This window comes from Homo sapiens, chromosome 15, assembly GCF_000001405.40.
Source record: "Homo sapiens chromosome 15, GRCh38.p14 Primary Assembly".
NCBI classification, from domain to species: domain Eukaryota; kingdom Metazoa; phylum Chordata; class Mammalia; order Primates; family Hominidae; genus Homo; species Homo sapiens.
Window position 1 is genome coordinate 59,387,400 of NC_000015.10, and position 13,242 is coordinate 59,400,641.

At 45.4% G+C, this 13,242-nt stretch overlaps 1 protein-coding gene and 1 pseudogene across 3 annotated transcripts in view, besides 3 other annotated features; both read left to right on the top strand.

Moving 5' to 3' along the window:
- The first annotated feature begins 2,808 nt into the window (after window positions 1-2,808).
- On the top strand, window positions 2,809-2,918 carry LOC124903597 (uncharacterized; annotated as a pseudogene).
- A 7,663-nt stretch (window positions 2,919-10,581) lies between these two features.
- The window catches only part of FAM81A (family with sequence similarity 81 member A), a 125,575-nt gene continuing 122,914 nt past the window's right edge, over window positions 10,582-13,242 (top strand). For 2 of the 3 annotated variants that reach the window (XM_047432170.1, XM_011521248.3), the window contains exon 1: window positions 12,227-12,345. The gene's annotated coding sequence lies outside the window, so the exon portion shown is untranslated. Of the gene's footprint in view, window positions 10,863-12,226; window positions 12,346-13,242 lie in introns of those variants that run through there. The other variant, XM_047432171.1, reaches the window with a different exon arrangement.
- Window positions 11,927-12,036: an enhancer, noted in NCBI's record as "active region_9489". NCBI's record gives its function as "activates an Ori minimal core promoter by ATAC-STARR-seq in GM12878 lymphoblastoid cells {active_cell/tissue: GM12878}" and the evidence as "EXISTENCE:reporter gene assay evidence [ECO:0000049][PMID:35858748]".
- Window positions 12,177-12,516: an enhancer, noted in NCBI's record as "active region_9490". NCBI's record gives its function as "activates an Ori minimal core promoter by ATAC-STARR-seq in GM12878 lymphoblastoid cells {active_cell/tissue: GM12878}" and the evidence as "EXISTENCE:reporter gene assay evidence [ECO:0000049][PMID:35858748]".
- Window positions 12,887-12,966: an enhancer, noted in NCBI's record as "active region_9491". NCBI's record gives its function as "activates an Ori minimal core promoter by ATAC-STARR-seq in GM12878 lymphoblastoid cells {active_cell/tissue: GM12878}" and the evidence as "EXISTENCE:reporter gene assay evidence [ECO:0000049][PMID:35858748]".

Consider the following 13,242-nt stretch of genomic DNA (forward strand, 5'->3'; position numbering starts at 1 on the left):
TGCGAATGCCTCTGGCAGGGTGGGACCTTCTAGGTTTTAGGATTCACATAAGCAGTGGCAGGGCGCAATGGCTCATGCGTATAATCCCAGCACTTTGGGAGGCTGAGGCGGGCGGATCACCTGAGGTCAGGAGTTGGAGACCAGCATGGCCAACATGGCGAAACCCCATCTCTACTAAAAATACAAAAAATTAGCCGGGTGTGGTGGCGCATGCCTGTAATCACTTGAGCCTGGGAGGCGGAGGTTGCAGTGAACCGAGATCACACCACTGCACTCCAGCCTGGGTGACAGAACAAAACAAAACAAAGGATTAGCATAAGCAAAAGCCCAGGGGTATGAAGGCTTATTATTAAATTGACTGAAATGTTCCTTCCTAGGACAGTTTCTCAAACTCACTAAGAAAAAAAGAGCTGAGATTTCACTTTTGTCTCTTTGGGACTGTGACAAAATGAGTCTGGTTTCCCAGTCTCTGCTCAATTATAAAAGGTAATTTATGTTGCTCCTTATATACTGCTGATATGCCCTCCTCAAATATGGGAGAGCTGTCTCATCTCTGATTTACCTTTGAGAAAAATCCCCAAGTAAATGCAAAGTTACTTATACCACAAAAATCAAGTCCTAATATAGTTTAGAACAGGATTTACCAGAAGATTCAAATGATTCAACTTGATTTTTTTTTAATTAGAGACTGAGTCTTGCTATGTTTCCTAGGCTGGCCTTGAACCCTGGGCTCAGGTGATCCTCCCACCTCAGCCTCTTGAGTAGCTGGGGCCACAGCCATGTGCCACTGCACCTGGCCTCAAGTTGATTCTTTTCTTTTTTTTGAGACAGGGTCTCACTTTGTCACCCAGGCTGGAATGCAGTGGCACGAACACAGCTCACTGCAGCCTGGAATGCCCAGGCTCAAGTGATCCTCCTGCCCCAGCCCCACAAGTAGCTGGGACTGCAGGTGTGTGCCACCATGTCCTGCTAATTTTTTTTTTTTTTTGTAGAGACAGGGTCTCACTATGTTGCCCAGGCTGGTCTTGAACTCCTGGACTCAAGCGATCTGCCCACTTTGGCCTCCCAAAGTGCTGGGATTGCAGGCGTGAGCCACCATGCCCAGCCTTTCAACTTGATTCTTGAATTCTTTGACTTCAACTTGATTTTTTACCTCTTTAACCTTAGTGCAAAGTGGGACTATTCTGACTAAAAGACTCAGGTGTAAAAATCTGTTTAAGTCTTCAAGTCAATAGCAAGTGCCTTAGTTATATTCCTTACTTTTACATCTCTGATTTGAATCTTGCTATCCTTCTTGCTGAGCATGGACCATGAGAAAAGCAGCTGGATATTAGAGTAGGTAATTCCTAATGACAAAATGAAGGAAAGTCAACCTTGTTTTTACCAAATCTCATGAAGTTGCTCAATAATTCTAAGATGACTCATCTTAGTACTTTAAGATCACATTAACCCTGCTGCCTTGAAAACAGTGCTTAAAGGAAGAGGATCCAATTATGTTAAAATATCTATCTTTTACTCTCCCTGACACACACACACACACACGCATGCACACGCACACACACACACACACCCTATCTATGTAGAGAGGAAGATAAGCCTTGAGGGAAATATGACGAATGTTTACTTGGTTATACTGGATGGTAACACTATAGAGATTTTTATTTTTGCTTTTAACTTTTTCTACATTTCTCATTTTTAAAAAAATAATGAGCCTGGGCACGTTGGCTCGCCTATGTAATCCCAGCACTTGGAAGGCCAAGACGAGCAGGTCACCTGAGGTCAGGAGTTCGAGACCAGCCTGGCCAACATGGTGAAAGCTCATCTCTACTAAAAATACAAAAAAAAATTAGCCGGGCTTGGTAGCAGGTGCCTGTAATCCCAGCCAGTCAGGAGGCTGAGGCAGAAGAATCGCTTGAACCCAGGAGGTGGAGGTTGCAGTGAGCCCAGATCACGCCACTGCACTCCAGCCTGGGTGACAGAGCAAGACTCTGTATCAAAAAAAAAAAAAAAAAAAAAAAAAAAAAAGAAGCAGAGTCTTGAAGCAGTGTCTTGCTATATTGCCCAGGCTGGTCCCGAGCTCCTGGGCTCAAGTTATCCTCCCACCTCGGCCTCCCAAAGTGCTGGGATTACAGGCATAAGCCACCTTGCCTGGCCTACTTCAAATTTTGTTGAATAAACACAAACTCCTTTTTTTGTAAAAACAGAGAACAAAAACAACCAAAGCAGATATCTAAAAACAGGCTTTCGTAGAGCAAGGCCAGGCATGCAGCTCACCTGTCTCTTAGTTCATCTTCCAGGAAGGCCTGAATGAGCCTGCTGCTGCTGCTGCTGTCCCTGTTTCATTTTCAGATGCTTGGGCATCTACTTTGAAGCCTTTACACGGTCAGCTCTGGAGAAAGAGAAATGGGTGCCCAACATTCCATTTAATTAGTTAGCCTGGATGCACGTGGGCCCTTCTGCAGCTCCTGTTGTTACCCGAAGATCAGCTTTGGGCCAGACTAGGCACTTGCTTCCATCCCCTGGTCACCCTCTTCCAGAACAAATGAACAAATCCAACTCTATCAGCCATCTTGAGTAAGATAGCATTTACTGATTTTCTTTGGGAAAGTGAGGCAAGCTCCTCATAACATATGGTAAAATTTCCCTGAGGATACCTGCAAACACTTCTGTTCATCCCTCCAAGTCCCTCTCAGCAGCTGCTGCCTGCCCTTCTTCTTCCCCAAACTGCCTTAAGTGGCTCCTTGAGCCTGACATTGCTCCCTTCTTCCCTTCACTGGCTCGTGCCCCTCCTTAAAAAGAGAGTCAGTGATCCTTTTGTAGTTCATAAGCGTGATGACTGTGGTTTCATGCTTGTGTGTGAGAGATGGGTGGGCCTCCCTCAAACCTTGTTACGACGTAGGCCCATTACCCATCTGACATGGAAAAAATAAAAGAAAGTTGGATTGTCAGCCAAATTTCAACAACCTCTTCTTTTTTTTTTTTTTTTTCTTGAGATGGAGTCTCACTCTGTTGCCCAGGCTGGAGTGCAGTGGCGCCATCTCGGCTCACTGCAACCTTTGCCTCTTGGGTTCAAGCGATTGTCCCACCTCAGCCTCCCGAGCGGCTGGGACTACAGGCATGTGCTATAATGCCTGACTAATTTTTTTGTACCTTTAGTAGAGACAGGGTTTTGCCATGTTGGCCAGGCTGGTCTCAAACTCCTGACCTCAGGTGATCCACCCACCTCGGCTTCCCAAAGTGCTGGGATTGCAGGTGTGAAACACCGCGCCCGGCCCAACCACCTCATCTTTTTCAGGCAAGGCTTCAAGGCCCATAATTCAATTGCATTAAGTTTACTGGTCCCTGAAAGTTGGGCAAAACTCTTATATTTGATTTAATGCCCTCAGCACAGACCAGAAAACTAGTATAGGGCTATTGCAAAACACGTGGCCATAGGATGTGCCCTGTAAGATCTAACCATTCTTAGGGGCCAAAATAGGGCAGAGTGGGACAGATGTGAGGCGGTACAGCATGTGGTTGCAGCTGGACCATGCTCTGAGCCATTTGGACTGTGAAGGTTTCTCTCCCAGAAGGTAGCAGGGTAGGTCATGGGGTATTGTAGGCCTTGACAAGAGTGCAAATGGAGGCCTAAAAACCAGATGTCTAAATGTTTTAAGTTATAAGTAAAGCTCACAAATCATTCAATACAATATGTTCTGTCCTCCTACCTTGACAAAAATACCTTCAGAACAACCTGGAAGTCCAGGTTGGAATTTTAAATTCTTGGATGTCAGAATCTCTTGCTGGAACATGGTGGCATGGGAAGAGCCAGCCCCCAGCTTTGGTCCTCATCCTCCATCCTTTTTTCTTCCCACTCCTGTCTCCAGCCCTTCTTGCATCAGCATAGATCTCTTGCATTCCCATATGGACTTCTCAGCCCATATATCCAACTTCCTCATAATACTCACTCTTTGTTGATCCCTTAAGGTTGGGTTGTACACACCAGCATCTGGGTCACCCTTAGAAGAACTAACCTTGAAAAGGTCAGCACTAGGTCTGGAGACAAACTTGGGGATATTTGGGCAGAGAATTCTGGAGTCCCATGCATTATCCAAAAAAAGTGAGGAGAATGTCAAACAGTTGATTTCTAATTTGTAATCTTTAAAGGCCCTCTCCAAGATGATTTGAGGAAATTCCAGGTTCAGGAATTCAACTTGTCTACTACAATTTGAGGAAATTCCAGGTTCTAATTCCAACGAAAATCATCTCGGAGAGGGAACTGTTTATTAATTGTCAGGGCAGCCAGAAGGTAGGGGGATGGATTTCATAACTTCTAGAGGTCACTTGTCCCACTTCCTCCTCTGCTAAACAGGGTTTTTGGGAGAAGCTCAGTAGACCATGGTCCCTTCACTCTTAGTGCCCTTCGGCCAGCTCCTGACATGAAGCAAAGGCCCTTGTGTTTCTCGAAGCTTTCTGCCTTGTCAGGGATGAGGACTAAGCGGGAGGATCTTTAAAGGCAGAGCATATGCGCAGAAATCTTTGGTTTCTCTCATTAGGTCAAAAATACCCTTTCGGCTGGGCACCGTGGCTCACGCCTGCAATCCCAGCACTTTGGGAGGCTGAGGTGGGCAGATCACCTGAGGTCAGGAGTTCGAGACCAGCCTAACAAACATGGCGAAACCCCGTCTCTACTAAAAAATACAAAAATTAGCTGGGCGTGGTGGCAGTTGCCTATAATCCCAGCTACTCATGAGGCTGAGGCAGGGAGAATTGCTTGAACCTGGGAGGTGGAAGTTGCAGTGAGCCGAGATCACGCTACCGCACTCCAGCCTGGGAGACTCTGTCTTGGAAAAAATATATAAATAAATGAATAAATAAAAAATCTTTCCTGATCCCCAGGCTGGAAGGCAAAGAGTATGAGTAAAAGGAGGACCAAGGGCTTGGAGAAGGGCCACCGTTCATTCTGTCTCTGCATTCATGGTTCAGGTGCTGTCAGTCATGCTGAGAGGAAGGCAGACAAACTGTGTCACCCCAAAGCCTTCTGGCCCCTCTCAGATAGTGTGGTCCCATCCAGGAGCTCTGCAGGCCACGAGTTCAGAGTGGGAAGGGATGTGGGAGGGGCTTAGGAGCTGGGCATGATATCTTGGGGTGAGATGTGCTGCCGCAGTCTCTTCTGTCCCCTGACTCAGGCTGGGAGGGAGACAGGTATGCTCTGAAACCAGGGAAGATAGAAAGCCTCAACTACCCGACCTTAGCGACCAGGATCTAAAACTCTGCAATGAGGGCTGACTCCATATGATCTCAGCTAGTAATGGCATAAAGATTGTACATGAAAATTCCAGACAGGGGCGCGTGTGCACACACACACACACACACACACACACATACACACAGCACCTTACCTTAAGACCTACTCTGCAGGAAAAAAAAAAGGTTTCAGGGTAGGACAGTAAGTGAGATGTCACAGAGAGTTCATAACCTGATCTCTCTCTGAAGTCTGCTCTTCTTGTTACCGAAAAACACAGGTTTTGAGATAAAGGTCATTAATTTGATACTTTGCTCTGCTACTACCTGCATTTTCATTTCAAAAGCAAAGTCACTAGGAAATGCCATTGGAGTTTGGAAAGAGAAACGAAATAACATCTGAATATTATGATTTGAACAAAATGGAGCCCAGGAGGCCTGGTTTGTGTTGTGTTCTCATAATATCATCCTTAGGAAGCCGTAGCTGCCCCATCCCTTAGGCTGTGGAGACTGTGCAGTGTTTCAGTAGTGAGAGAAGGGGCATTGTAGGGCCAAGGAAGGTGTAAGGGGACGGCAGGGAGTGAGGGACAATGAGCAGTGCTCTATTGATAGTAACAGGAAATAATAATGACGAGAAGCCTTGAGGAAGTTAATCCAGGGCCTCCTTACTAAAACCTAACCTCCAGGATCCATTTTGCTTCTATAATACTTAAACCCAACATGACTCATGGGAGAAGATGCCCTTGATAACTGTCTTCCTGAGAAGTTGAGCCTACGTTCTTTTTTTTTTTTTTTTTTTTTTTTGAGATGGAGTTTCGCTCTGTTGCCCAGGCTAGAGTGCAGTAGCACGATCTCAGCTCACTGCAACCTCTGCCTCCTGGGTTCAAGCGATTCTCCTGCCTCAGCCTCCTGAGTAGCTGGAATTACGGGCGCCTGCCACTATGCCCAGCTAATTTTTGTATTTTAGTAGAGATGGGGTTTCACCATCTTTGCCAGGCTGGTCTCGAACTCCTGACCTCGTGATCCACCCACCTCGGCCTCCCAAAGTGTGGGATTAGGGCATGAGCCACTGCGCCCAGCCGAGCCTACATTCTGCAGCATCTCTCTCTCTCGCCGAGAAGCCCTTGAATGTGGATATCGTAAATCACACAAGTTCACAAAACAAGAGTCAATCCTAGCTTGAGTTTACAAGAAGATAAATTGGCATCCATGTATGATAGCCAGATAAAATATTGCGCACCTGTATTTTTATTGCAAAATTTGGCAACCTCACATCCATGTCCCCAAATCTTCAATCCTCTCTGATTTCTTCAGTAATGAAAACTACTTAATGTGTGGGACTGTAAACTCAAGGACATCTGAGGTCTTAGGGAGATGTCCGATGGGACCACACAAAAAAATGAAAATAAGAACTCTCATCAAAAACATGAGAGTCTCTTCCACTGAGTAAACTTTTCCCATCACAGGGACTTTGTTGTCTTCCTTCCTCTGGTATTCGTTCTTCCAAAATACCTGTTTTGACTATCAATCAATAAAGGAAAGCCGTGGAAACCAACAGGAAATAACGCCCACTCAATGAGCGCCTACTATTTGCCAAGCATCATGTTAGATGCTTTATGTGCCTCATTTCATTTCATCCTCGCTATATTCTTGAAGATAATTACGTTTTTTCTTTAATGTAAAGATGAGGAATCCAAGGTTTAGAAATGTTACACAACTTGCCCCAGGTCACAACCCGCATCAGTGGAAGAGCCAGGATGATGGTGATGAAGATGGTGATAATAATGGTGGTGACGATGAACACAGCTCACATTGCTTGAGAATACATTATGAGTCAACCAGTGTGCTGAGCGTGCTACATGCTTTAACTCATTCAATTACCACAACTGCCTTTTGGGGCTGGTACTCTCATTAACTCCATTTTAAAGATGAGAAAACACATTCACTCTTGGTCTGCTCACTCCAAACCGCTGACTCTACTATTAGCCATACTCCTTGGATTGTACCTCTCCACCCACTGGGTCTTGACATCCCACTACCACCCCTCTTATTGCAGGTTGCTGAAGCTGTCTGTAGACTCAGCTTCTTCCTAAAACCTTAACCTCGCGACTGGCTGATTGCTCTTGGGAAGCAGTGCATGGTAAAGCTTGGCAGGCAGATGTCAGGTTGACCAAGGTTCCTATCTTAAATGTTGAAAATTTAGTGTTTCCCACCTTGAAAATACACTCTGACAAGTTTTATGCAAATTACTCCCAAGAGCTGACACATAGCCAACCAATAAAACAGCCTCAGCAAAAACCTTCTCAATCTTACCTCTAGGAAGCTCTTGGCTTTCGCTAACCACAATCTTAGAGAAGCTTCCAACTAGTCAAAGGTGAGTGTAGCTTCGTACTAATATAGCAAATCTGGTTTCTTTCTTTCTTTTTTTTTTGTGGACTCACCCAAAAATGCAGAAATGGCTGGATGGTTGATGACTTATTTATCTTATTTTTTATTTTTATTTTTAGAAATGAGGTCTTGCTTTGTCACCCAGACTGGAGCACACTGGTGCGATCTTGGCTCACTGCAGCCTCCACCTCCTGGTTTCAAGCAATTCTCGTGCCTCAGCCTCCAGAGTAGCTGGGGTTACAGGCGTGCACCACCATGCCCAGATAATTTTTGTATTTTTAGTAGAGATGGGGTTTTGCCTTGTTGGCCAGGCTGGTCTCGGACTCCTGACCTCAGGTGATCTACTTTTCTCGGCCTCCCAAAGTGCTGGGATTACAGGTGTGAGCCACTGCACCTGGCCTATTTATCTTATTTTTTATTTTTATTTTTAGAGATGAGGTCTCGCTCTGTTGCCCAGGCAGTAGCACAACAGTAGTTCACAGCAGCCTCCTGGCTCAAGCTATCCTCTCACCTCAGCCTTCCAAGTAGCTGGCACTACAGTCGTGTATCATCATGACTAGCTAATTTTTAATATTTTTTTAGAGATAGGGTCTTCCTATGTTACCCAGGCTACTCGAACTCCTGGGCTCAAGTGATCCATCGGCCTTCAGCCTCCCAAAGTTCTAGGATTACAGGTGTGAGCTGCTGTGCCTGGCCTGGTTTCTTACTAATGGTGCTGATGGCACAGATCCTTTTTGGTTGACACCCTTGTCACCTGCCCCTGCATAGCTCCCATGCAAGTTCAAGGTTGGAGAGACAAATGGGGGGATGAAGACAAAACTTCCACCCTCCCCCTTTCTCCTAGTCAGCCTGTGCGATATAATTTCCCCCAAATCCAAAGAAAGGGAATAAAACTCTCTCCAAACATCTCAAAAGCCTATCATGTCCTTTTGACTTTTCCTGGCTACATTTCTTCCACTCATTCTTGTCTCTGTCTTCAAGAGGTGATTCTGCTGGCCTGAGAGTGTCTGGTGGACTCACTACCCAGGGTCTCTCTCCTTCCATTTCTGGAGTGAGCACATCAGAGGGCAGTAGGGAGGAGGCCGAGCAATCTGTCCACCTCAGGCTTCCAAAGTGCGGGGGTTATAGACATGAGCCACTGCGCCCAGCCTGGACTTTCACTGCCTTAAGCCAGCAGAGGCTGTAATAATAACTCTTCTTGAAAGAAAAATGTTCAACAATCGAAATGACCAGCAAATTTGCCATGTAATATTCCATCTTATTCTCCTTTTCCAGCTCCAAAACCACAACCATATGCCACAGCTTAGAACAAGAAAGAATCCCTTGCTTAGGGATACTGGCAAGGAACTCCACAAAGTAGCCTCACTCCCCAGAGTACGTCTACAAGGGATTATGCAAGTTTACCCTGTAATGCAGGGATCAGATCATTCAATTTGTCAATATTTATTCATGTACAGTCATCACAGAAGTGATGTAAAATAAATGAGAGTCTAAATAATAATACTGCAGGAGCCCAAATAAAATGACTTCTCTCCTTTAAGCTGTATAAAACCTTCTTTCTCCCCTGCCACTGATCGTGCATAAATTACTCTGGTTAACAACCTTCTACCTAGCAGGCTCCAGGAATCACAGGACCAATGTGTCAGGGATCTCCTTTTTCACATAAACTCTGGGCTGGGATTTTTTCCAGTGTAGCCTTCTTCTTCTTCTTTCTTCTCCTCCTCCTCCTTCTCCTCCTTCTCCTCCTTCTTCCTCTTCTTCCTATTCCTCCTCTTCTTCTTCTTCTTCTTTAAATTTTCCTTTTTCTTTTTGAGACAGGGCTCCCTCTGTTGCCCATGCTGGAGTGCAATAGTGCAATCACAGCTTATTGCAGCCTCAACCTCCCCGGGCTTAGGCAACCCTCCCACCTCAGCCTCTCGAGTAGCTGACCATGCCCAGCCCCGTGTAGCCTTCTAAGGGAAGGGTTATGTTTATAGGAGAGAAGCATTGTACTTAAAGGAGGATCCCAGCAAGAACTCTTTGCATTCAAGGTCCTTCTCATACTCTCAGTTAACATTGATCAGACATTTTAGCGGTGCTTATTACATGTCAGGCACTATGGTAGATACTAGGAATACAATGTGATTTAAAAAAAATGGAGTCCCTCTTTAGGGAGGGAAAGCCCACTGTATAATAGGTAAAATCTATTGATAGCAGCTGTGTGCTTTATATACGCTACCTCATTTAATCTTCAGCCCTGGCAGGGTCCAGTGGCTTACACCTGTAATCCCAGCACTTTGGGAGGCTAAGGCGGGCGGATCACTTGAGGTCAGGAGTTTGAAACCAGCCAGGCCAACAGGCTGTGAAACTTCAAAAATCCAGCATAATTGGAACCTCAAACCTATGAGATTATCAGATTTGTCCAGATATTTGGACAGTATTATATTGATAATGTTTGAATTTTTTAAAATTTCTGACTTTTAAGATATTGTCCAGGTTATGTGCTTCTATCTCTTGGCCATTATTATTTTGGCTCATACTTGAAGACTATCAATTACAGATGAGTCAATTAAGGCAGAAACGCTTGGTATAAAAATATAAAACACCATCATAAACAATATTTGACCTTGGAAAGGTTCTGGGGAAAAAAGTGAATTAATCAGCACAGATTCATTGGCAGAGTCTGTTCAAGGGTGTATCACCAACCTCAATAATGGTGCTAGGTGTGAGCCAATCCACCGGATACACTCACTCCTCTGATCCTACTGAAATTCATCTTGACCATTTGCTTCTTCAGCTAATGATAGAGACACAAATGGACTATTGGGATTTTCCAGATTGCTTTCAACATTCCAAATGCCAAACCATCCGAGTTTTTAAAATTACTTATGGTTTTCCAAATCCTACAACACAGGATGTGTTGACTAGGAGATACAATTTTTAAGATGTTTGTTGTACGTGCTTTTTTTTTGTCTTCCTGTTTTCTGCGGGTTTATTGGTGGTATCAACTGACTATTCCATCCAAGAGACAGAACTTGCACTGGAGGAGAAATGGGCACAATCCTAACCATAGCATCACCTAGCGACTATCAAGCCCGAGACCAGAAAGCAACATTTGAAGTGGTTTGACAGCATTGCCTTTGGATAACTGGCTTTCTGGTTCCTTACTGAACACTTGCAGATATGAGTTATGTTAGGTGAGGACATCTTTGGAGCCATCTGCATAAGAAGAAGAGTGTCAACTCTGGCAGGACAGACTTTTTTTCACTCAGGTAAGTAATTGGTAATGTAGGGTCTAAGTGTTTTCATAGGAATAAACACATGGGAGGAACACTGTGTAAATTTGGATTAGGTTTTTCTGCATGTAACCAAAATAACAGTGCCTTCCACAGGATGGGAGTTGACTTCCCTTTTACACAAATGAAAGCAAGAGGTAGACAGTGCAAAATACCTAATAGCTCCATAAAGTCATTAGAACATGAATCCAGGCCAGGTGTGGCAGCTCATGCCTGTAATCTCAGCACTTTGGGAGGCCAAGGCAGGTGGATCACTTGAGGCTACAAGTTCGAGACTAGCCTGACCAACATGGTGAAACCCAGTCTCTATCAAAAAAAGAAAATTATTGGGGATTGGTGGCACATGCCTGTAGTCCCAGCTATTCAGGAGGCTGAGGCAAGAGAATTGCTTGAACCTGGGAGGTGGAGGTTGCAGTGAGCCAGGATCACGTCACTGCACTCCAGCCTGGGCAACAGAGTGAGACTCTGTCTCAGAAAAAAAAAAAAAAAAAAAAAAAAAAAAAGGAAATGAATCCAGTCTCTTTCTAGTGCAAAACTTCACCATCCCTAGGGTGTGGTCTATGTCTTCCTAGTCCAAGCTAGTGACTAAAAAATCAGCTATCGGCCAGGTATGATGGCTCACGCCTGTAATCCCAGCACTTTGGGAGGCCAAGACAGGTGGATCACGAGGTCAGGAGATCGAGACCATCCTGGCTAACATGGTGAAACCCCGTCTCTACTAAAAATACAAAAAGTTATCCAGATGTGGTGGCGTGTGCCTGTAATCCCAGCTACTCGGTAGGCTGAGGCAGAAGAATCACTTGAACCTGGGAGGCGGAGGTTATGGTAAGACGAGATCACACCACTGCACTCCAGCTTGGGTGACAGAGTGAGACTCCATCTCAAAACAAAAACAAAAACAAAAAAGAAGAACAAAAAGAATCAGCCATCATATTCATATAGAGGAAGGGGAAGAAAGGCATGTCTTCTCCCTATAAAATCATATCCCAGAAGCTGGAAACATTTCCACTTTCACATTACTAGCCAGAGCTTAGCCAAATGGTCTCATCCAGCTGCAAAAGATATTGGACAATGTAGACTTTATACCAAGCACTTTATGCTCAGCCCAATATTAGGGGTTCTTGTACCAAGAAAAAAAGACAAGAGAATGGATGTGTAGACGATTAGCAGTCTCTGCCACAAACATTGAACCCAGCTGTAAGACATCAAAAAAGGCCTCCAGAAAGATATGGTATCTGAGCACTGAATAAAATACGCTGAAGAACCCATGCAGATGAAAGGGATGTACGAGAGGAGGAAGGGCAGGGTGTTTCTGGTGAGGGGGCAGCACATGTGAGGCCACAAGAATGAAGAAGTGTGCTGTGATGGGGGAACTGAAAGTTGCTCCTCTGGCTGATTGAAGATAGGAGGCAGGAGAATTCTCTCCCTATGCGAGGCGCTGGCCAGTCCTCATTCTCAGGTAATGTTCCCAGAGTTCTGGCTCTCCTCCTTTCCTCCTGCTGCAGCTGATTCTCTAAGTTTAGTGTGAGTGGCCAGCCACTCCCTCCAGGGCAGGAGGGGAAAGAGTGGATAGTATGCCATAGCCTTGTTAAGAAAGCCCCATACTTATTTTTCAGAACACATTTGAGTTTCTCCTTCTTCAACTAGACCAAAAAACAAAGTATCTTCAGTGAGTAACTTTCAGAGAGGCTCCAGGGAGGGTGGTGGGGTAAATGGAGAGTCCCCGTCCGAGTCTCTCTTCTGCTCCTCCACACCTAGGAGCTAACTTCCTGCCATTTTTATCGTAACTGTTACAGGTGAGGGATTTGTGAACTGGGAAACAGGCCAGAGGTTCACTCAGAGATTGCAAAGGCACCTCCAAGTCAGGTTGTCCAAGACTGACTCATGCTCTTGCCCCCCAATTCATTCCTCTTCAGTGTTCCTGTCTGGGGGAATGCGTCTGCACACGTCCCAATACCAGAGCGAGAAAGTCAGGAGTCAGCCCAAGCATGGACTCTCCCTCCCCGCCCACATCCAGCCACTCACGGGTCTGATAAATTTACCTCCTCAATAGCTTGCACTTCTGCTTACTCCTCTCCACGTCCACTGCACCCCGCACACTAGCCCAAGCTACTATCATCCTCTCCCGATCATAGCAGTGGTTGCAAGTCTGGTTGCCCCGCACCGGCTCAGACCCCCCTACCCCATGAATCACACTACAGCCAGTGTCATTATCTTCAGCATAAGGCTGATGATGATCCTCCTTCTCCACCTCTTGAAACCCTAGGGTGGCTAACTGCAGTCTACACAGCTCTAATCACTCAGGTTCACACCCCTCCTGCTTCATCAGGCGTCATTCCTTCCCCTGCTCCCTTCA